This window comes from Homo sapiens, chromosome X (assembly GCF_000001405.40).
Source record: "Homo sapiens chromosome X, GRCh38.p14 Primary Assembly".
NCBI lineage: Eukaryota > Metazoa > Chordata > Mammalia > Primates > Hominidae > Homo > Homo sapiens.
The window spans coordinates 72,326,237-72,347,530 of record NC_000023.11 but is presented as its reverse complement, the minus strand read 5'-3'; the positions used below and the strand labels follow the sequence as shown (position 1 = coordinate 72,347,530).

Here is a 21,294-nt window from a genome sequence, read left to right as displayed (position 1 = left end):
TGCAGCCCAGGCCCAATCCTCTTGGGGAGCAGGAGTGGGGGAGTTGTGCATTTGTGAGAATGTGTTACAGTTGTAACTGGAGGTTTCAACACTTGCTCTGTGTTCCCAGAACTATTCCCCAGGTTTGACTGGGAGAGAAAAAGAAACAAACAAGGTCAGGAAGTAAGGAGGAGGAGGAGGGAAGGGGGAGGCAGAAGACACAAGGGAAGAAAAAGGCCTTGCATGCATCTGCCCTTTCTTCCCCTTACTGAAGGAGCCTTAGGATGGCAACCTAACAAACTGATACGGGTGTGGACAGAAACAACACAGATGAAATAATAAGAAGAATAGCTACTATTTATCTTACAGATAAGGAAACTGAGGCTCAGGGAGGATAGGTGACTTGGCCAAGATCGCCTTTATTCATTCAGCAGGTGGTAATTACTGAGGACCTACTGTGTGCCACACACTGTGCTAATAAGCAGTGGAGTGGACATTGGAACACAGGCCTGGAGTGGAGCTTCAGAGTCAGGCTGTTTGACCTTTATTTCCCTCCTCTCCTTGGCAGCATTGCTCTGTCAAATCTGCTCATCATCCCGTCTGCTCTTTCCGATCGCCCCTAGTAAACCCTCCTACCTCACACTACATGCCCAGCTTCTTCCATGTGGCTAATCCTAAACACTAAACTCCCTGGAAATGGGAAGAAGACAGCCTTGGGCAACCTTTGAAATTCTGGCCCCTGACATAGGCTTTGTAGCCCTCCCTAGGCCCCGCCCCCTCCCCCACCATAGTGTAATCTGAAGCTTCTAGCTCCCTTTCCCTAGTAGAGAAGGAAAAGAAATGGACAGAAGGTAGGAGAAGCCAGCTCACCCAGCTCCTGCTGCCTGAAATGTGCTGTAGCCACCAGACCCAGTCTGCCATTTGCAGTTCCACAGCCCCAATCTGAGACCCTTTGCACATCTACTGGTAATATTCTTAGGAGAACCATTGTGCTGCGTATAAGCAGCACTTCCTCTGGCAGCCTGACATCCGGGATTGGCATCCTTCTAGGGGCTAGCAATTGGAGCTCAGGTTTGCGCATATTCAAGGCCTGCTGGAGCCCCAGGCTTGAAGCAGTGCTCCTGCATGGTGGGACTCTATACCATGGAAACTTGGCTTCCTTCCACACTGTCTCTTTCTTCTTGAGAAGCCATGAGGATAAGTTGAAAGGTAGGGTTGGTCCCAAGGATAAACTGACCATTTGCTTTAGGGCTTCTTGGAAGGACTTCAGAGTAGGGTTTTGGAGGATACCTGAGCCAATTTGCATGACTTCAGGTGAAAATCTCTGTGATGTCCATCCTTTATCTCTCTTTCCTGTCCCCTGCTGGCTCTTTATTCCTCTTCATCTCCCTGTGGTCCTTTCCAGGAGCCTACTGCCAGCTTGGGCTTCTTCATCAAGCAAGTTCCTCTCTTTCTTGTTTCACTAAAGAGTATAAGAGATGGAAAGGCTTCTTGTCATCGTTGTTATTGCTGTTGTTAAACAGAAAAATAAGTTACAAAAATGTCATGCTGAAAATTTTAAAAATTCTGGGCCGGGCGCCATGGCTCGAGCTTGTAATCCAGCACTTTGGGAGACTGAGGCAGGTGGATTGCTTGAGCCGAGGAGTTCAAGACCAGCCTGGACAACATGGTGAAACCCCATCTCTACAAAAAAAATACAAAAATTAGCCGGATGTGGTTGTATATACCTGTAGTACCAGCTACATTGGAAGCTGAGGTGGGAGGATTGCTTAACCCCAGGGAGGTTGAGGCTGCAGTGAGCTGTGACTGTGCCACTGCACTCCAGCCTAGGTGACAGAGCCAGACCCTATCTACAAAAAAAAATTTTTTTTAATCCTAAAATAAAAATGGAGACTGCTCCCCAAAGTTACAGTAACTTAGACAGCAACTTTTAAGAAACCATGAAAACCCTTGGCATATTACTCATGAAGACTTGGAATTTCTACCTAAATCTGTGAAGTGGGAACTACTGATATTGACAGGGTACAGCACAACACCCTGTGCTGGGTACTTCACATACATGATCTCTTTTAACCTCACAATTTCCTTATGAGGTAGGAGACTGGCACCCGAAGACATTGTGTAACATGCCCTAATCACGCAAGAAGTAAGTGGTAAACTCAAGATTTGAACCCAGACCTGGTGGCCCTCTTCTCCGTGGCAGCATTGCCCTGTGACACCTACTCAACATCCATCTCCTCTGCTTTTTTCTAGTCGCTAGTAAACCTTTCCCCTAGTAAACCCTCTCCCCCTGCTCAGGTTCCCAAAGTGAGCTTCAGAAGCAGTTTAATTTTAAGAGATATGATTGTGTCTCCACTTTAAAGCCCAGCTCAAGCAATCAACACATATATTTTTGAACCCCACCCCCCTCATGTTGGTGCCATTGGGAGATATACGAGGTGTTTAAGACATGATCCCTCCTCCTGATAAATAGTTGAGAAATCTAGGTTAGGGAGGATTTGAATAGATCAGAGTAGGGATGCACTTGTAAGTGAGGGAAATTCAGAAGGGTGGGGATGGGGGGCCGATTGCAGGCTCCCTTGAATTTCAGGCTGACTAGTTCATATCCACAGTAAAGTGGAAGTCATTCTAGGTTCTGAAATTAGAGCACCACATGATACAGTGATATTTGGGATGGATGGTGATGGTAGTGCAAGACTGAGACTGCAAGGTCCTGGACTAGAATAGTGGTGGTAAAATAGAAGAAATGACTGAGAGCTGTTATGAAGAGAGTATCATCACCAGCACTGGGAGGTAGGCCATTTATAGAGGATCAGGGAGAAAGGAAGAAGTAAAGGTGACTCTGAGATTTCCAGCCTGGATACCGACTGAAATGGGAAGCTCTTGGGGGAGGGAACATAGCTTTACTGAAACATATACTTGATGTGTTCTCTTTTGATGTACTGAATTTGAAGTGTCTTATGAATTCCATACAGTGTATCTACATGAAAAAATTTGTTGCAGCCAGTTAAAAAGCAAATTTTAAAAGATAATTTGATGACATGAGAATATGCTCATGATTACAATGTTAAGTGAATATGAACAGGATACAAAGTGGCTTACTACCATATAGTCTCAATTTTGTAACTATATTTAGTGTGTGTTTTGGGAGAGGGGATATGCACAGAAAAACACAAGAATTAAGTGCTAACAGTAGTCATCTTTGATGATACTTTACCAAAGTAATATACCTTAACAGTAGTTATCTAGAATTAGAATTATAGATGATTTTTATTTTTTTATGCTGTTTCTGTATTTTTCAAAATTTCTACCATGAACGTGTAGTCAGGAAAAAAAAAAGTAATACATGCTGGCAGGGGCAGAGGGCACTACCCTATTACCTCCAGGTGGGGAGTAAAAGTCTAGGTTCCCTACTCAGCCACCATTGACACCCTGGGGAGAAGAAGGGCACCTCAGTATTGCTGGGTGGAGTAGAATTCAGGCTCTCCAATAGACCTCCACTGATACCACTCTGGCCAAAAATGGGAGCGGCACCTTTTTATTGCTCCGCATTTGGCCTCTACTGACATAGCAGTGGGTGGGCCTCCTTGCCATTAAGCAAAGATGGAAAGTCCTGACTTTCTACTCTGCCTTCTTTGACACCACCCTGGTGGAATGGAAGGGAAGCCTAACAGTAACCATTTAGTGTTAATATGTGCCAGGCACTATTCTGGGCACTGGCAATACATAATTAAATAGAATAGATAAGCCAGGCACAGTGATGTGGGCTGATAGTTCCAAATACTTAGGAAGCTGAGGAAGGAGGATCGCTTGAGCCCAGGAGTTTGAGACCAGCCTGGACAACATAGTGAGACCCTGTCTCTTAAAATAATAAAGGAAATAGGTCAAATAAAGTCCTTGCCCATCATGGAGATTACATTCTAGTGTGGAAGATAGACAATAAACAACTAAATAAAAATTTAATGTTGTTTACTGATAAATTCTGAGGGATGCTATTCAGTAAAGACCTCTCGGAGGAGGTGACATTTGGGAACAGAGATTAATGAAATGAGGGAAGGAGATTTACAAAATTTGAGTTCGGCCGGGCATGGTAGCTCACGCCTGTAATCCCAGCATTTTGAGAGGCCGAGACAGGCAGATCACTTGAGCCCAGGAGTTGGAGACCAGCCTGGGCAACATGGCAAAACCCTGTCTCTACCAAAAAAAATGTAAAACTGAGCTGGGTGTGATGACATATACCTGTAGTCCCAACTACTTGGGAGGCTGAGATGTGAGGATCAATTGAGCCCAGGAGGTCAAGGCTGCCGTGAGCCATGATTGCACTACTGCACTCCAGCTTGGGCAATAGAGTGAGACCCTGTCTTAAAAAAAAAAAATGGTAGTGAAGTACATTCTAGATGAAGAGACAAGCAATATCAAAGACCCCAAGAGAAATGGATTTAGTATGTTCAATATAGATATATGTTTCAATGTGTATTAAAAAGAAATATAATTATCAGATCAAACTCTTTGGTTTCAAAGATATTACTTAGGATGAGGCTGGGGTTTTTTTATGTCTATATAAGAAAAGTCCACATAGGCGGTATGTGAATATGGCCAAACTCTTGACAGTATAGAACTTTAGGAAGCAGATCAGTCTCTAATGTATATAATATTATTAGCCCCATTTAATAGATGTAGGAACTGAGGCCTAGGGGAGTTAATTAGCCTGTACAAAGTCACACAGCAGGTAAGTGCGGAAGATAGGATTCCAACTGAGACGCTGAGGATCATACTCAAAGCTTAGAAGAGGAAATAAGGAATTTTCCTTCTGCCTGGCAGAGCTGCTGATTGTTGCATAAACAAACCAATAATATTCAAAGAGTAGTTGGAGGCCTCTAATATGTTTAATTAAGCATTTTTTTCTTGTGTGCCCGAAGTACATGCCCAAAGCGATTGTATTGCTCATTTCCCTCCAGCTTCTAGTTCTAAAATGATCAAGGGGTAGAAGGAAGGTTGGAAATTATTAGGAAAAATAAGGTAAACCACTCAGGGTTTTGGAATGCCTAACTGTTGACAACTTTGTCAGTCTACCTGGAGGCTCTTTAGACAACTGAGATTCAGGTGCTGTCTTGAGCACAGCCACCAAATCCAGCAGTGCTAAGGGTCATTTTCTGCCAGGGTAAGTGGGCCTAGCCTCCTTGGCCTTGCCACTGAGGGGCAGCTGCTGCAGGATTCTCACCACAGAGTTCCAGAGGAGGGTCTGCAGACCTCCCATCCCATGGTTTTCTGCTGTACCTGGACAGGGACTTCCCCAAGCCATGGTCGGGTCATGAAGGAGCTCACAGTCTTTTGAGAAAGGAAAGTATCTTTACAGGCTCCTGGTTTGCCAACATTCTTCTGCCTCTTTGCAGCTCCAAGCACATTTTGGAGGGAGATTTCACAAAGATTTCTAAATTGAGTTAGAATTTCAAGTCTATTGTGACATGCAAATTAGTCCTGCTTGCCCATTGGCAGCAATGCAGCTGAAGTGCCTAGAGACGGGCCATAAAATGGAAACATCAAAGTGATTAAATGTGCCCGAAGAGCATAATTGAGTGCATGAATAAGAGAAAATAAAACAAATTGATTTTCTCCAGTGCCAGAAAAACAGAATAATTGAAAACAAAATAATAGACTTTGAAGTAATCAAAGTGAGGAATGCACCATAGTGACATAGAAACAGCCAGTTGTGGGAGAGATTTATTGTGTTTCTGTTATCATTTTTACAACTTTAATTTCATTAGCTAATAAATACAAATCAATTGAAAAATCAGTCAACCAGAGAGACGGCAGTCCCAAGCCAAGATTTTTATTCACATCTCTAAAACAGGCTGAGGTGGTGATTCTTAATCTACTTTCATAGGTGCACATTTCTGCCATGAGCTGGAAAACAAGTTCTGGGAGGTCTGTCTGCTTTGGAGGTGGTGATGTTCTGTTCTGACAGTCACTTTCCACATATAGACTTACAGATTCAACTTTCAAAAGGGTCACTTTTATACCCCGCCAAAATTTCTGACAGAGAACTACCCAAGTACAAGCATCTTGGTTTACATAGATGACATTTTCATGGCACTGACCAGCAACTGTGGTCTTACACAAGGTCATCCTGGATTCATTTGGTGATAGTGGTGGTGGTGGCAGCTATGGCAGCAACAATAGCAGGAGCACCTGCTGCTCTCACAATACTGCTGAGCATCTATGGCTCACTGCTTCCAACCCCCACCCTCATCCCCTGACACATACGTGCACACTAGTGACACTGAAATCTAATCTAAAACCAGGAAGGCCAGTCAAGAGTATACCACTCTTTTGGCTTCCAGCCTGGTGACCATGATCCTGGGGAAGATCACAGGAGGGGAGCTGGGCCAGAGGAGACTTCTCATGTTCACTATGGCAATAAGGAACTGGGGACACCAAGCCATGCTGGGCTCACATGCTGAATGATCACAGAGCAATCATGAGACCACCACAGAACCATTTTTATGGCTCCTCCAAGAAAAGAATCCCTCTACCCCACTCTTCAGCTGTTCACGGCTGGGCTCAGTGACCCTTCACTTCAGGATCCACAGTGATAGCTAATGTGACTTGAATTGTGGGTTTTCCTTTCACAGGCCCTTGAGCTCTCTGGCAGCTGTTGGCACTTCTAGATGTTTGTGACACACCCTACCTTCAGGGCTCCACAGTTAGCGACTGTTTCTTTGGCTCCAGTAAAGGTCTTTGGGACCATTGGGACTGTAAACCAGGGTGTGCAGAAGGAGTTGGCAGTGCTGAGACTGGCATTACTTGTTGGCTCAGTCAGGATGGCATAGTTAATAGATTGTGCCTGCCAGGCAATTTGTCCTGGAGAATTTATCTTCCAGGAAGCACCTAGAAGCTGAAGGGAGCCTCTCTGACCTTCTGGTGGCGTCCAAGGCCTAATCATGATATGCCTTGAGGTGAATAGGGGATATTAGCATTTAGGTTTTTTGTGCAAGAGAGCGAGAGTTGGTCTCCAGTTCAAGTCAAAAATCCCAGCTTCCATTTCCCACTGGTGTTTGGGTGGGGCAAAATAGAGCAAATAGCTTTCAAACTCTAAAGCATTATACAGATGTAAGGCTGTATTATTCCTCCTACCACTGCTATTCCCATTATCCTGGATTTCCCAGCCCAGAATTTTTCTCTGAGAAAAAGAAATGTGGAGAAGGCACATCGACCAAAGAACCTCGGAGCTCTGTCTCCAAAACGGCTGGGAGGCATTGCCCAGCCCAGCAGATAGACAACTGCCGGGGCCCAGCTCCACAAGCTGGCTGGCAGGCAAGCAGCCCACTCCTGTGATGTCACCTCTACAGTTACTTGCGCCCATCCTTCCACATGAAGCCAGCAGATTTAGGCACAGGAGGGGAGAAAAAATGAATCATAGGCTATTTTAGAAATTGCTTCGGTTCTGTTTGAGACTGCAGTAGTGCCTTGAGAACTAAGACGAGAGCACCCTAACCATCAGGGTAATATCCTCTAAGTGCTGGTGTCCTGTAAATGTCAGAAGCCTGGTGGGATTAATCCACAACCTCAGGTTCTAATTCAGGTCAGAGGCAGACAAGTGGTGATTGGCAGTTTTACTTAATTGTCAATTAAAGGCTCTCTGATGACAGGAGGGATCGACATTCCAAGGCAAGCAATGCAGTTGACAATTAAGAGCTAAAAATTAAACCAGCCATCCATATCATCACATGCCCAAGGCTTCATAGGAACCCTTGGTACTGCAATTGTTCCCAGGTAGAAAATGAGGTCCTTGAACCTGGCCATGATGGGGCAGCAGCTGGAAATCTTGCTCTAGCCCTGGATCCCACAAGATCCCCTGCTCCCTGACAATCTCTCAGAGGCTCCCCATGGCCTCTCAGATAAGGCCCTGGCCTTGATATGGCCTCTGGCCACCTCTCCAGCTGCATTGCTCCCCTCCCTGAACTTCATCCTGTATCCTGACCTCAAAAACTTTGCAGTTGGCTTTATATATCCTGCTCTGTTCCTGCTGCCTGGAACATTCTTCCCTCCTTTGCCCTTCAATAAACCACCTACTCTGTGAAGCCTCTTATGCCCTCTTTTTCTGCCCACAGCACTCTGTACATACTAGAATTGTATCACCTTGCTGCTGTGGACTATAATGTGTTTGCCTCCATATATGTCTTCCTCACGAGGCCAAGAACTCCTTCACGGCAAGAACTGTCTTGATCCCCTCTGTGACCCCAGCACCCAGCACAGGGCCTAGGCCATTGTAGACATCAGCAAAGGCTTAGGCAATAAATGGACAGAAAAATGGACCAGATTGGGCTGAGGGAGCTGGATAGCTGGATGAGAGCGGGGGTGCATACCATCTAAGATTCTCAGATACCAGAGCCTGCCAGCAGCAGGACAGCCTGGACACCGGCTGGCCAAGGGTAATCCCTACAATGATTTTTCTCAAGATGTGCCTCATGTTCCTCTATATGAGAGACAATCTGAGGTGACACAAAGACATTTTTAATTTTAATAGTCATATTTATTTTAACGTATGCTTTAAAATGTAATAAGCAAGTTGTCTATTATTATTATTATTGCTGCTTATGATAGATGAGGCCAAAATAGGTATTAAAGTTTTTTTCTTATTTTTTAAAATTTCTTTTTAAAAATTAATAGAGACAGGGACTCCCTATTTTCCCCAGGCTGGTCTCGAACTCCTGGGCTCAAGGGATCCTCATGCCTCAGACTCCCAAAGTGCTGGGATTACAGGCGTGAGCCACTGGGCTTGGCCTGAAGGTTTAAAAGTGAGTTAATAACCCAAAAAATAAAAAAATAAAAAAATTATATATATATAAATATATATATATATATTTGTATATATATATTTATATATATTTATAAATATATATATATATATCAAGGTGACTATTAATACAGCTGTTAAGTAGATATAAAAACATTCCTAAAAGAGGTACTCATATGACAGAAGTTTTGGAAACATTTTTCAACAGTCCTAAATTCACTTCTCTGTTCCTTTGTGGTGCCACCCAACCTCCAAGGGTTCCTGAGATCACACCAGCATCCCTCCAAACTGCTGTGATGCTGATTGCGTTCAGAACTTATGTATCCTAGCCTGGTTCTCCTTTTGTTAGCATGTGTTTGCTCACCTTACCCACACTTATAAGGTCCTTAAGAGCAATGACCAAGCTTTAAGCCTCTGGGAATTTAATGGGAAAGTGCTTGATCAACTGCCCTGTAGTCTACAGATGTCTTTTCCTTCAGTGAATAGGTACTGAGCACCTACTAGGTGTCAGGCACTACTGAGGGTGCTAACAGTAGAGTAATGACCAAGACAGCAGACAAGGTCCCTGCCCTCATAGAGCTGGTGAGAGGAAGCCAACAGCGAGCAAATAAAGAAACAAACACACAAGATGTTTTCTGTGCGCTAAGTGGATTGAAGAAAATAAAACAGAATCATGTGACAGAAAAGGAGTGACTGAGGGGGTGGCTTCTTAGCTTGGGTGGTCCTAAGGTCTCTCAGAAGTGACTTTGGGGTTGAGACTCGTCGACTCAAGGTGACAAAGGTTATGAGAAGAGTTGGAAATGGGGATAGCCAGGACAGAGCATTCCAGGAAGAAGGAAGAGCAAGTTCAAAGACAGGAGAAGCCCTAAGAGGGAAAAATGATTTCTGTGCTCAAGCCACACAAAGAAGACTCAAGTGAGCAAGGAGGGTGGTGGTAGGAGACAGGAGGCAAGGGACCGGCCCCTGCAGGTGAGTAACTTAGATTTTATTGTGATTGGAGGCTGTTAGAGGGATTTGAGCATAGGAGTGATGTGGTCTGTCCTAAGTATTAACAAAATACTCTGGCTGCTATATAGAGAACAGGGTTGTAGGAGACAAGGAAGGAAGCAAGGAGACCAGTCTTGAGGCTATTAGAATCATCCACATAAAGGGTAAGAATAGTTTGGGGTACAGTTACAGCAGTGAAGGAGGGAAAAAAAGAGGTAGATTTGGAATCTATTTTGGAGGTAGAATCCACAGGACTTGCTAATAGATTGAAAAGGAAGGTTGTAAACAAAGGAGGAGTAAGGATGACCCCTAGTCAACGTCATGAAGGAAAAAAAAAGCACAAGAGGACTGTTCTATGTCTGCTCTGTCCACTATAGTCTCACCACTAGCCACATGTGGCTAAGTTCATTAAAATTAAACAAAATATAAAATTCTGTTCCTCACTTGCACTAGACATATTTCAAGTGCTCAATAGCCACATGTGACTAGTGGCTACCATATTGAGCAGCATAGCTGTAGGATGGTCACATCATCCAAGAAAGTTCTATTGGACCGCACTGCTCCACATTAAAAAGATTAAGAGAATAAAAAGACAAACCACAGACTGGGAGAAATATTTGCAAAATTCATATCCAGTAAAGGAGTTCAATCCAAAATATACAAAGAACTCTTAAAACTCAACAATAAGAAAACACTCAATTTTTAAGTGGGCAAAAGAGGCTGAGTGCAGTAGCTCACTCCTGTAATCTCAGCACTTTGGGAGGCCAAGGTGGGCAGATCGATTGAGTCCAGGAGTTTGAGAACAGCCTGGGCAACATGGTGAAACCCTGTCTCCACAAAAAATTTAAAAATTAGCCAGACATGGTAGCATGTGCCTGTAGTCCCAGCTGCTCAGGAGGCTGAGGTGGGAGGATCACTTGAGCCCAAGAAGTCAAGACTGAAGTGAGCTGTGATCACACTACTACATTCCAGCCTGGGCAACAGAGCGAGACCCTGTCTCAAAAAAAAAAATTAAATAAAAAAATTAAAATGGGCAAAAGCGAGCCCATTTTGGGGGTGTGGTGGCTCCTGCCTGTAATCCCAGAACTTTGAGAGGCTTAGGAGGGAGGATTGCTTGAGGCCAGGAGTTCAAAACCAGCTTGGGCAGCATAGCAAGACCCCATCTCTACAAAAAATTTAAAAATATTTTAAAAAAATAAAAATGGACAAAAGATATTAATAGGCACCTCACCAAAGAAGATATACAGACAGCAAGTAAGTGCAGATGCTCCTCTGCCTATTGCAGTGGGGTTATGTCCCAATAAATCCATTGTAAGTTGAAAATATAAGTGGAAAGTATGTTTTCAACTTACAGTATCTTCAACTTATGATGGGATTATCTAGATGTCACCCCATCTCAAGTTGAGGAGTGTACTGAATGCATTATTACTTTTGTACCATCATAAAGTTGAAACATCTTAAGTCAGAGACTATATGTGAAAAGATGCCCAATATCATGGTCACTAAGGAATTGCAAATTAAAATGAGATACCATTACATATCTATTAGAATGGCTAAAATCCAAGGCAGTGACAACACCAAATGCTGTTAAGGATGTAGAACTACAGGAACTCTCATTCATTGCTGGTAGGAATGCAATATGGTACAGTCACTTGGGAAGACATTTTGGTATTTTCTTACAAAAATAAACATATTCTTACCACATGATCTAGCAATCACACTCCTTAGTAATTACCCAAATGAATTAAAAACTCATGTCCACACGAAAACCTGCACATGAATGTTTGGGGGTCTTTTTTGTTGTTTGTTTGGGTTGTTGTTGTTGTTGTTGTTGTTGTTAATTTTTTTTTTTTTTTTTAGAGACAGTGTTTCACTCTGTCACCCAGGCCAGAGTGCAGTGGCACAATCATAGCTCACTGCAGCCTTGACCTCCTGGGTTCAAGCAATCCTCTTGCTCCAGCCTCTTGAGTAGCTTGGACTACAGGGGTGTGCCATCACACTCAGCTAATTTTTTTATTTTGTAGAGACAGTTTCTCACTATTTTGCCCAGGCTAGTCTTGAACTCCTGGCCTCAAGTGATCCTCCCGCCTCAGCCTCCCAAAACACTGGGATTACAGGCATGAGCCACTGTGCCCAGCCCTGCACAAAAATGTTTATAGCAGCTTTATTCAGAATTGCCAAAACTTGGAAGCAACCAAGATGTCTTGCAATAGGTGAATGGATAAACCCGTTGTACATCCAGACAATGGACTATTATTCAGCACTAAGAAAAAATGAGCTATCAAACCACAAAAAGACATGGAGGAAACTTAAATGCATCTTGAAAGAAGCCAGTCCAAAAAGGTTACATACTGTTTGATTCTAACCATATGACTGTAAAAAGATGATGGTTGCCGGGCTTCAGTGAAAGGAAGGGAGGGATGAGTCCATGGAACACAGGTGATTTTGAGGGCAGTGAAACTATTCCTGCATGATACTCTAATGGTGGATACATAACATTATATACTTTTCAAAACTCATAGAACTGTGCAAGACCAAAAGCGAATCTTAACGTAAACAGTGGACTTAAGTTAATGATAATGTATCAGTATCCATTCACTAACTATAATAAATGTATCACACTAATGCAAGATGTTAATAATAGGGGAAACTGCCTGTAGGGGAAGGGGAAGGAAATATATGAGAGCTCTCTGTACTTTCTCTTCAGTTTTTCTATAAACTTAAAACTGTTCTAAAAGTAAAATATATTAATTTAAAAAAGAAAGACTAAAGAGATTGTTCATCAACACCTAACAAAATACCTGGCACAGAGTAGACACGCCATAAATGTTTATTGAATAAATTGATAAACAAATGAGTCAACCAGTGGTTCAGTAGAACCCAGGCCCCCTGAGTCCCAGTTCAGTACTCCTTCTTGTACATCAGAGCTAGAGTAACAGTATAGTTTATTGTCCAAACCAGGATATTTGAGAGTGAAATGGGGTGCCTTAGGTATAAATCAAGACTGTTTCAGAGATAACCAGAAATCACAAACTGGCAGTCCATAAGCTACATCTCGCCTCCAAAATTGTTCTGTTTGGCCACTCATCTTAATGCCTCATATGATATTCTTTTAAAATGTCAGTCATTTGCCCAAATTTAACACAGTGGAAACTGCATAAAAATGTGAAATTTGGACTTCTCTTGGAAAATGGAAGGACTCGGTCCCATGGGGCCGACAGGACTGCACAGTGGTGAGTGGCTGGAGCTGAGCAGCAGCTGCCCACTTTTGCCAGCAGGTACCTTCCTCTTTGCCACAAGCCCCACCAGTCCCTTTTGTATCTCTTACTCTAGGCCAAGTGTGAGTTTCCATTTACACTGTCTTGGTTTTGTTTTCTTCTGTGGCAGAGTTAAGAAAAAAGGGAAATATTTCTTACACTTATGTCATGATTCAAAGTAAGAAAATGAAAAAAGGATCAAGAGGGCCCCTTGTGTCTTGCCCCCAGCCTGCTTTACAAACAGTATATTCTTGGCCTCTCTAGGCAGTTGAGTCTGCCCGCTGTGGTCTGAACTTCTTGTCTCCCTAGGCCCCAGCCTGTGCTAGCCTTTAGAATTTTCTCAGGCTGCCACCCACTGCTGGAAAAGCTAGATGTGAGGGGAAAACAATGGGCATTATTTAAGCTTGCATTTTTATTGTTACCCCAATTCAACATTGCTCATCATCAACTTCTTGGTGAAAATTATTTCTGTTGTTTTTCTTAATTGCCTCCAAATTTAACTGGAGAGTGAGGCAGAGCAGCAGAGGAGTACAGCACCCACCTTTCCTCCCTGCGAACATGTCTTGTTGGAATGCTTTGACATGGAATTTTGTTCATCCTTGCATTCAGTCATTCCCCTAGCTCTGGCTATACTTACAGATGGAAGGACTCTCACTTCACACCAGTGTCCCCTGTAGGTTGTCCTCAGCTGAGGCAACAACACAAGCGAAGGTGTGGAAACAGGAAAGCATGGATGGGGCCCATTTACGCTAAGGAGTTGGACTTCATTCATAGGTGGTAGGTCGGGAACTGCTAAAGTCTTTTTTTTTTTTTTTTTTTTGAAATGGTGTCTCGCTCTGTCACCCAGGCTGGAGTGCAATGGCACCATCTCGGCTCACTACAACCTCCACCTCCCAGGTTCAAGCGATTCTCCTGCCTCAGCCTCCCCAGTAGCTGGGGTTACAGGCGCCCACCACCACACCTGGCTAATTTTTTTGTATTTTTAGTAGAGACGAGGTTTCACCATGTTGGTCAGGCTGGTCTCAAACTCCTGACCTCAGGTGATGCATCCACCTCAGCCTCCCAGAGCGCTGGGATTACAGGCATGAGCCACCACGCCCAGCCTGCTGAAGTCTTTTTGAGCAGAGAAGGAATGTGATCACAGCTAGCAATTGTGCAGGGAATAGCTCTAGAAGCAGGAGGACCAGATAAGAGGTTGTCGCAGTGACCTGAGTAACAAGAGATGTGACTAAAGCAGAGACAGTGGAACAGAAAGAAGGGGATAGATTGGAGAGACATCTTGAGGTTAGGCTTCACAACTCATAAGATGTGGAGAAGGCGTGAACTAAGAAATTAAGGATCAAAGATTATCCAGAGATTTTTTTGAGGTTAGGGGGTTGAAATACCAAAAGCATGATCCAAAAAAAGAAAAAAAATTGATAAGGAATTGGAGCTCATCAAAATCAACTTTTGCTTTACAAAAGACCCTGTTAAGGGAATGAAAAGATAAGTTACATACTGAGATAAGATATTTGCAAATCATATATCCCACAACAGATTTGTATCTAAAATATATAAAGGGCTGGGTGCAGTGGCTCACACCTGTAATCCCAGCACTTTGGGAGGCTGAGGCGGGTGGATTATTTGAGGTCAGGAGTTTGAGACCAGCTTGGCCAACATGGTGAGATCCCCTCTCTACTAAAAATACAAAAATTAGTCGAGCATGGTGGCACATGCCTGTAATCCCAGCTACTAGGGAGGCTGAGGTAGGAGAATCGCTTGAACCCAGGAGGCGGAGTTTGCAGTGAGCCGAGATCGCACCACTGCACTCCAGCCTGGGTGACAGAGTGAGACTGTGTCTCAAAAAATAAAAATAAAAAATATATATAAAGAACTTTCCAAACTCAACAGAAAAAAAAAAAAACAATTAGGAAGTAGGCAAAAGACAAGACATGAAAAGGATATACAGTCAGCAAATGAGCACATGAAAAGATGTTCAACATCATTAGCCATTGGGAAAATGCAAATTGAGATCACAATGTGATATCACTATACATCTATCAGAATGGCCAAAATAAAAACCAACACCAGATGCCAGCAAGAATGCTGAGAAACCAGATGACTCAAACATTGCTGGAGGGAAAGTAAAATGGTACCACCAGTCTGGAAAACAGTTTGGCAATTTCTTATAAAGCTAAACATGCTACTACCATACCTCCCAGCAATTATTCTGTTGAGCATTTGTCCCAGAAAAATGAAAACTATGTTCACACAAAAACCTGTATGTGAATGTTCATAGTGGCTTGATTCTATAGCCAAAAACTGGAAATGACTCAGGTGTCCTTCAGCAGATAAGTAGTTAAACAGATTGTGCTACATCCATACTGTGGAGTACTACTCAGCAAAAAGAAGCAACAAACTTGATACACACCACAACTTGGATGGATCTTAAGAGCAGTATGCTGAGTGAAAAAAGCCTATCTATCTCAAAAGTTTATATACTGTATGGTTCCATTTCTATAACATTCTCAAAATGACCAAATTTTAGAGAAGGATAACAGATGAATGGTTGTTGGGACTTAGGGATGGTGAAGGAGGAGGGATGGGAATGACTGTAAAGGAGGTAGAGGAGGGAAATCTTTGTGGTGATAAAATAGTTTCGCATCTTGATTGTGGTTGAGGTTACATGAATCTACACTTGCGATTAAATGGCCTAGAATTATACACTTATACACACACAAATGAGTGCTTGTAAAACTAGTGACATATTAATAAGATCTGTGAATTGTACCAATGTCAATTTCCTGACTTGGATATTGAACAGTAATTATGTAAGATGTTAACATGTGGGGAAACCTGGGGAAGGGTGTGTAGAACCTCTCTGCACTATTTTTTTTTTGCAGCTTCCTGTTATTCTATAATTATTTTAAAAGTAAGAGCTCAGTACAAAAAAGGAATGAACTTCTATTGATACATGCACAAATCTGCATGAACCTCAAAGGCATTATGCTGAGTAAAAAAATAAAATAGCCTATCTTAAAAGGTTACAGACTGTTTGATTGCATTTATATGGCATTCTCAAAAAGACAACACTACAGTGATGGAGAACAGATCAGTGCTTGCTAGGTGTGGGGGAGAAAGGAAGATGTGATTGCAAAAGGATAGCACAAGGAGATTTGAGGGGTTATGGAACTCCTCTCTGTCATGAATCTATACATATGTTTAAAATCAGATCTGCACATGCACAAATGTCAATTTTACTGCAGAATAAAATTTAAAATAAAAGTAGATAGGCAAGGCCGGGCATACCTGTAATCCCAGCACTTTGGGAGGCCGAGTCGGGTGGATCACGAGATCAAGAGATCGAGACCATCCTGGCCAGCATGGTGAAACCCCATCTCTACTAAAAATACAAAAATTAGCTGGGCATGGTGGCACACACCTGTAGTCATAGTTACTCGGGAGGCTGAGGCAGGAGAATTGCTTGAACCCGGGAGATTGCAGTGAGCCGAGACCGCGCCATTGTACGACAGCCTGGGCAACAAGAGCAAAACTCCATCTCAAAAAAAAAAAAAAAAAAAAAAAGATAGGCAAGTAGTTTGTTTCTGACTTGTTTCTTCTTTCCTTCCTTCCTTTCATTCGTCCATTCATTCAGCCATTTACTGAGCACCTACTATGAGTGAGGCACTGTGCAAGACTTTGGAAATCAACCAAAAGTAAGACAGCCAGGCCCTGCCCTCAGGGAGCATTGTTTCTGTTTCAGAGAAGTGGCCAGTAGGGTTTGGAGCCCAGTGTTTCTACTTGGGGAAGTGTGGCAAGGCAAAGACTACGGAGGGACAAAGTGAGCAACTTTTCATTCCTAGAGCCCAGTCCGGTAGGATTTCAAATGATCACTTTTCCCTCAAAGACTCTTAGGCCTGAGATCAGAGGAAAGCCCCCAATCCGTGTTTCACAGGTACTCACAAGAGAAAATGCTAGGAGGGTTGTGCCTTGCTAAGGGAAGGAAGAAAAGTTGGGGGTGGGGAGCATGAGATTTGATGCAGTTAGTAAAGAATGAACTCTGAAAAGTGTTACGAGAGAGAGAGAGAGACTTAAAACAACCATTTGTTTAGCTCATGACTCTATAGATTGGCAATTGAGCTGAGTTCAGCTGGGTGGCTCTTCTGGTTCTGGCTGGATACACCCAGCATCTGCAGTCAGCTGGCTGTCAAAGGCCTCGATCACATGTCCAGTAATTGGCTGGTGGTTGCCTGGGTGACAGGGATCTCTGGGCCATTTGTTTCTCATCATCCAGCAAGCTATTCTGGTCTTGTTCCTTATGGCGAGGTCACAGAGTTCCCAAGAGCAGCAGAGAATAAGCCCCAAAATATAAGTGCTTTTTAAAAAATAGCTCTATTGGGGTATAATTCACATACATTACCTGACTTTGAATTTTGTTTTCTCCCCTGTTTGCAGGGAATCTGAAGCATGTGGTCTAGTTGACAGAAAGAGATCAGGTTTCCAGAGCTGAGGAGTGGTGCCTATAATGAAGACAGCGTGTTTATGCAAGCAGTTTGTGGAATTTGTGACTGCAGGGAAAATTTGAAAGAAATTACTTCCTGAAAATTTCCAAGGGGCATCAAGTGGCAGCTGGCTTCCTGGGGTGAAGAGGCAGGCACCCCAGAGTCCTCAACTGGACCTAGGGGAAGAAGGAGATATCCCACATTTAAAGTTCTTATTTAAAAAAACACACACACACAAATGAAATTTTTAATCTTTGAAAATTATTTTTAAGCGAATTGGGGAGGGGAGTATTTTAATCATCTTAAATGAAACAGATCAGAAGCTGGATGAGAGCAGTCACCAGTTTGTAGGGCAGGAGGCAGCTGACAGGCAGGGTTTGGGCCTCAGGACCATCCAGGTGGAGCCCTGGGAGAGAGGGTACTGATCAGCAGACTGGGAGGTGGGGAGAAGTCCGCTGGTGTTGTTTTAGTGTTATATATCTTTGGTTTTTTTAATAAAATCTTTGAAAACCTACCTCTTTGTCCCGTTGTCTTCATTGTAAAGCGCCACTGACAGCACACACAGTTCTGAACTTTTCTTCTCGCTGAAGTGTCAAGAATAACCCTGTTCCTTCCAATCTCTACTCTGGCCCGGCTTGAGAGTCTGACCTCACTGGGGAACTAGTGTGTCCCTAGCCCAAGTTCTTGGGACAGAAGGCCAAGCTCTGTGTTGCACTGGGGCTGTCCATGGTGGGGTAGGAATACTGGCACTGCAGTCATGGAGAGGGGCTTATTGGCACCCTGGGGAGGAGCTGTCCCTGTCCAGGGAGTGATTTAGGGATGGAAAAGGTGTGTTGGCATGTCAGATCCAAGAGGAGCACTTCCATGGATAGAAAGGATGCTTCCCAGTAGACAATTGGCACATAATGAAAAGGGGAGGAAGTTGTAATGTGTGGTGTTACTGCAACCTCTGGGGAGTTGGCAACATGGAAAAATGGGGATGGGAGATAATGGGAGAGATGAGGAAGAGACAACTAAATGTCATGATATTGTAATTTTATTTACCAAATATTTACAAAGCTCCTTCAACTAACTACTGGGACCGGGACGGCAGACAAGCACACAGCCCCATCCATCCTGGCTGTCTAGGAATTCCCAGACAAGGCAAGGGAGGAGAAAAAGAAGCAGATCCCAACATGTTTCCAGCTCTGTTATCAACATGAGCTCAGAGCTGTGGGAGCACATTTCTACTTTTCAGTATTTTCCAAATTTTCTGTAGTGGGCACATTTTACTTTAATAATAGAAAAAAATAAATACATAAACCCCAAAAAAAAAAAAGAAACAATTGATCCGCGGGGAGTTAGGGGGTAGTTACAGATCAAAGTCAGTTCAAGACACCCACTGAGGAAGACTTTGTGCTCAGGCCCTGGGGCTGTTCTAATTGCCTGGAAGACCGATCAGTGGGGGCGATGGCGGGGAGGGGGATGCGGGGGAGGGGGATGCTTTTTAGATCAGTTGGCTTGAGGGTGGGGCAAATTTGTCCCCACCATAAGCCTGCCTGTCTTACCTTTAGGAAATTGCTGCCGACCCCGCCACCACCCACCCCTTGTGTCTGCAAGGGACCAGCCACAATAACTATAACAACAATGGTAAAGCAAGCATTGGCATATGCCCCATTTTACAGATCATTTTCACTTGTACGTCACTATCCACCCTGCTAGTGGGTATTATCATCCCCACTCTATAGATTAGAAAATTGAGGCTAAGAATGATGAAGTAACATGCCCCTTTTTAAGTGGCAGAGCCAGGAAGAAAAACCCGGCTGGAACTGCAAATTCCCTTACTTTTTCCACTGTCCCACACTAGTGCCACTAGAATATTTTTAAACTGTGACTTTGAAGTAAACAACTTTCTTACTGCTTCCAAAGCCCAAGCTGGACCAAGCCACATGCTGCTTCTGGGCCCTCACCACACAGTAGCATTCATTCGTTTGTGTGCTTTTCAGCAAGTTGCTTGACCTTTCTGGGTCTGTTTCCATACCCATAAAATGGGGTGAATAATTCTTGCACCTCATGGGCTATTGTGAGTGGTTGATGAATTACCAAAGATGGAAGCACTTTGAAAAGCGTGTATTCTGGACAGGAGGGCCTGCCTTGGAAATGGTCCAGGGAAGGCTCACCTCTGAGGAAAACCCAGTGCTTATAGGAAACCCACCAGCCCCCTCTGTCTCCAGGGCACTCACAAGGGCCAAAGAGACCAAGAAAGAAGTGTAGACTATGTCTCCAACTCAAGGGGTAAGAAAATAACCACTTAAAAAGGAATATCGATATTGGATATGCATATATGTGCATAAAACACCTTTGGGAAAATACACAAGGAACTGGGACACCTCAGTTGCCTCTGGGCAAGGGAACCAGATGGCAAGTGGCAGAGTGAGGGCGACCTGCACTCAGTTCCTTTTTGTACCTTTTGATTTTTGAACCATGTGAATGTATTACCTGGTCCCAAAAAAGTTAATACATAACATTTGTTTTTAAGTCAATGGAAAATTCCCACCAGTTTTCCTTTGGGGAGGGTGGATCTGCCTCTGCTGCATTCAATGTTAGCTGTCACAGAGACAGCAGTAGTATATTTCCAATTATATATTTAAAAGACTCTAAGGCAGAAAGACTTCTTTATAAGAAAATCAAATATTGTCATTCAACAAAAAAAAAAGGAAAAAGAGGAAGAGGAGAAGGAAAAGAAGGAGGAAGAGAAAAGCAGAAGAATGAAAGAAAACAACCACGTAAACAAGTGTGTTTTGACATCTCTAAGCCCCTATACAGAAAGCTCCTGCAGCTCCTCCTTCTCTGCATTTGCCAGGGGCAGATCCCCAAACCTCCTGCTCAGTGCTGGGCCCAAAGCTGACCGGTAGTGCCTTGGCATGCAACATAACACACTTCAGCCTCAGACTGCCTGAGTTTAAGCCTCTCCCTTCACTTACTAGCTGTGTGACCTTGGCCAAGTAACTCCCTCTCTCTGAGCCTTAGTCTTATTGTCTATCAAATGGCGACACTTACCTGTACCTACCTCATGGGGGTGGTTGCGAGGGACCAAAGAGATAATGCAGAAAAGCATGTAGTAGAGCGCATGTTATATATTAGTAGTAGACACTGTTCTTGCCCTAAATGTGAACACGCTGTGGGTAAGGAAACTTCCTGGGGTTCCCTGGCTTCAGGAATTAGGGAAATAGTATGCAAATTTGTGTGACTGTACATATGTACATTTTTCTGGGGCACAGAGCCATAGCTATTATCAGAGTCTCAACACTCAAAGGAGTTTTGTGATTACAAAAAGGATGAGATCTACAGACGTAGAGGTAAAGACAGACATAAATAGAGCTGTCTAAGACAGGGGCCCCTCACCTCATGATCTATGCACACGCTAGTCCTGCTTGGAATGCCCCAATCTTCCCTAGACTGGCTCCTTCTCCTCATTCAGTTGTCTGACTCAATTAAATACCCTAGGGCCGGGCCCGGAGGCTCACATCAGTAATCCCAACACTTTGAGAAGCCGAGGTGGGAGGATTGCTTGAGCCCAGGAGTTCCATACCAGCCTGGCCAACATGGCAAAACCCCATCTCTACTAAAAATACAAAAATGAGCTAGGCGTGGTGGCACATGCCTGTAGTACCAACTACTCAGGAGGCTGAGGCAGGAGGATGCCTTGAGCCCTGGAGGTCGAGGCAGCAGTGAGCCATGATTGCACCACTGCACTCCAGCCTGGGCAACAGAGCAAGACCCTGTCTCAAATAATAATAATAATATGGCTGGG

At 43.6% G+C, this 21,294-nt stretch overlaps 1 protein-coding gene across 16 annotated transcripts in view; it reads left to right on the top strand.

Annotated features, from left to right (window-relative positions):
* Window positions 1-18,015, top strand: part of HDAC8 (histone deacetylase 8) — a 243,328-nt gene extending 225,313 nt beyond the window's left edge. For 8 of the 16 annotated variants that reach the window (NR_051952.2, NR_199813.1, NR_199814.1 and 5 more), the window contains one exon: window positions 17,455-18,015. Coding sequence is in view for 11 of the 16 variants with exons in the window: in XM_047442255.1 (XP_047298211.1) it covers window positions 17,455-17,477 (23 nt within the window). In the remaining 5 variants the exon portion in view is untranslated. Of the gene's footprint in view, window positions 1-16,654; window positions 16,716-16,762; window positions 16,841-17,454 lie in introns of all 16 variants that reach the window. The other 8 variants (NR_199815.1, XM_017029644.3, NM_001410728.1 and 5 more) reach the window with 2 other exon arrangements.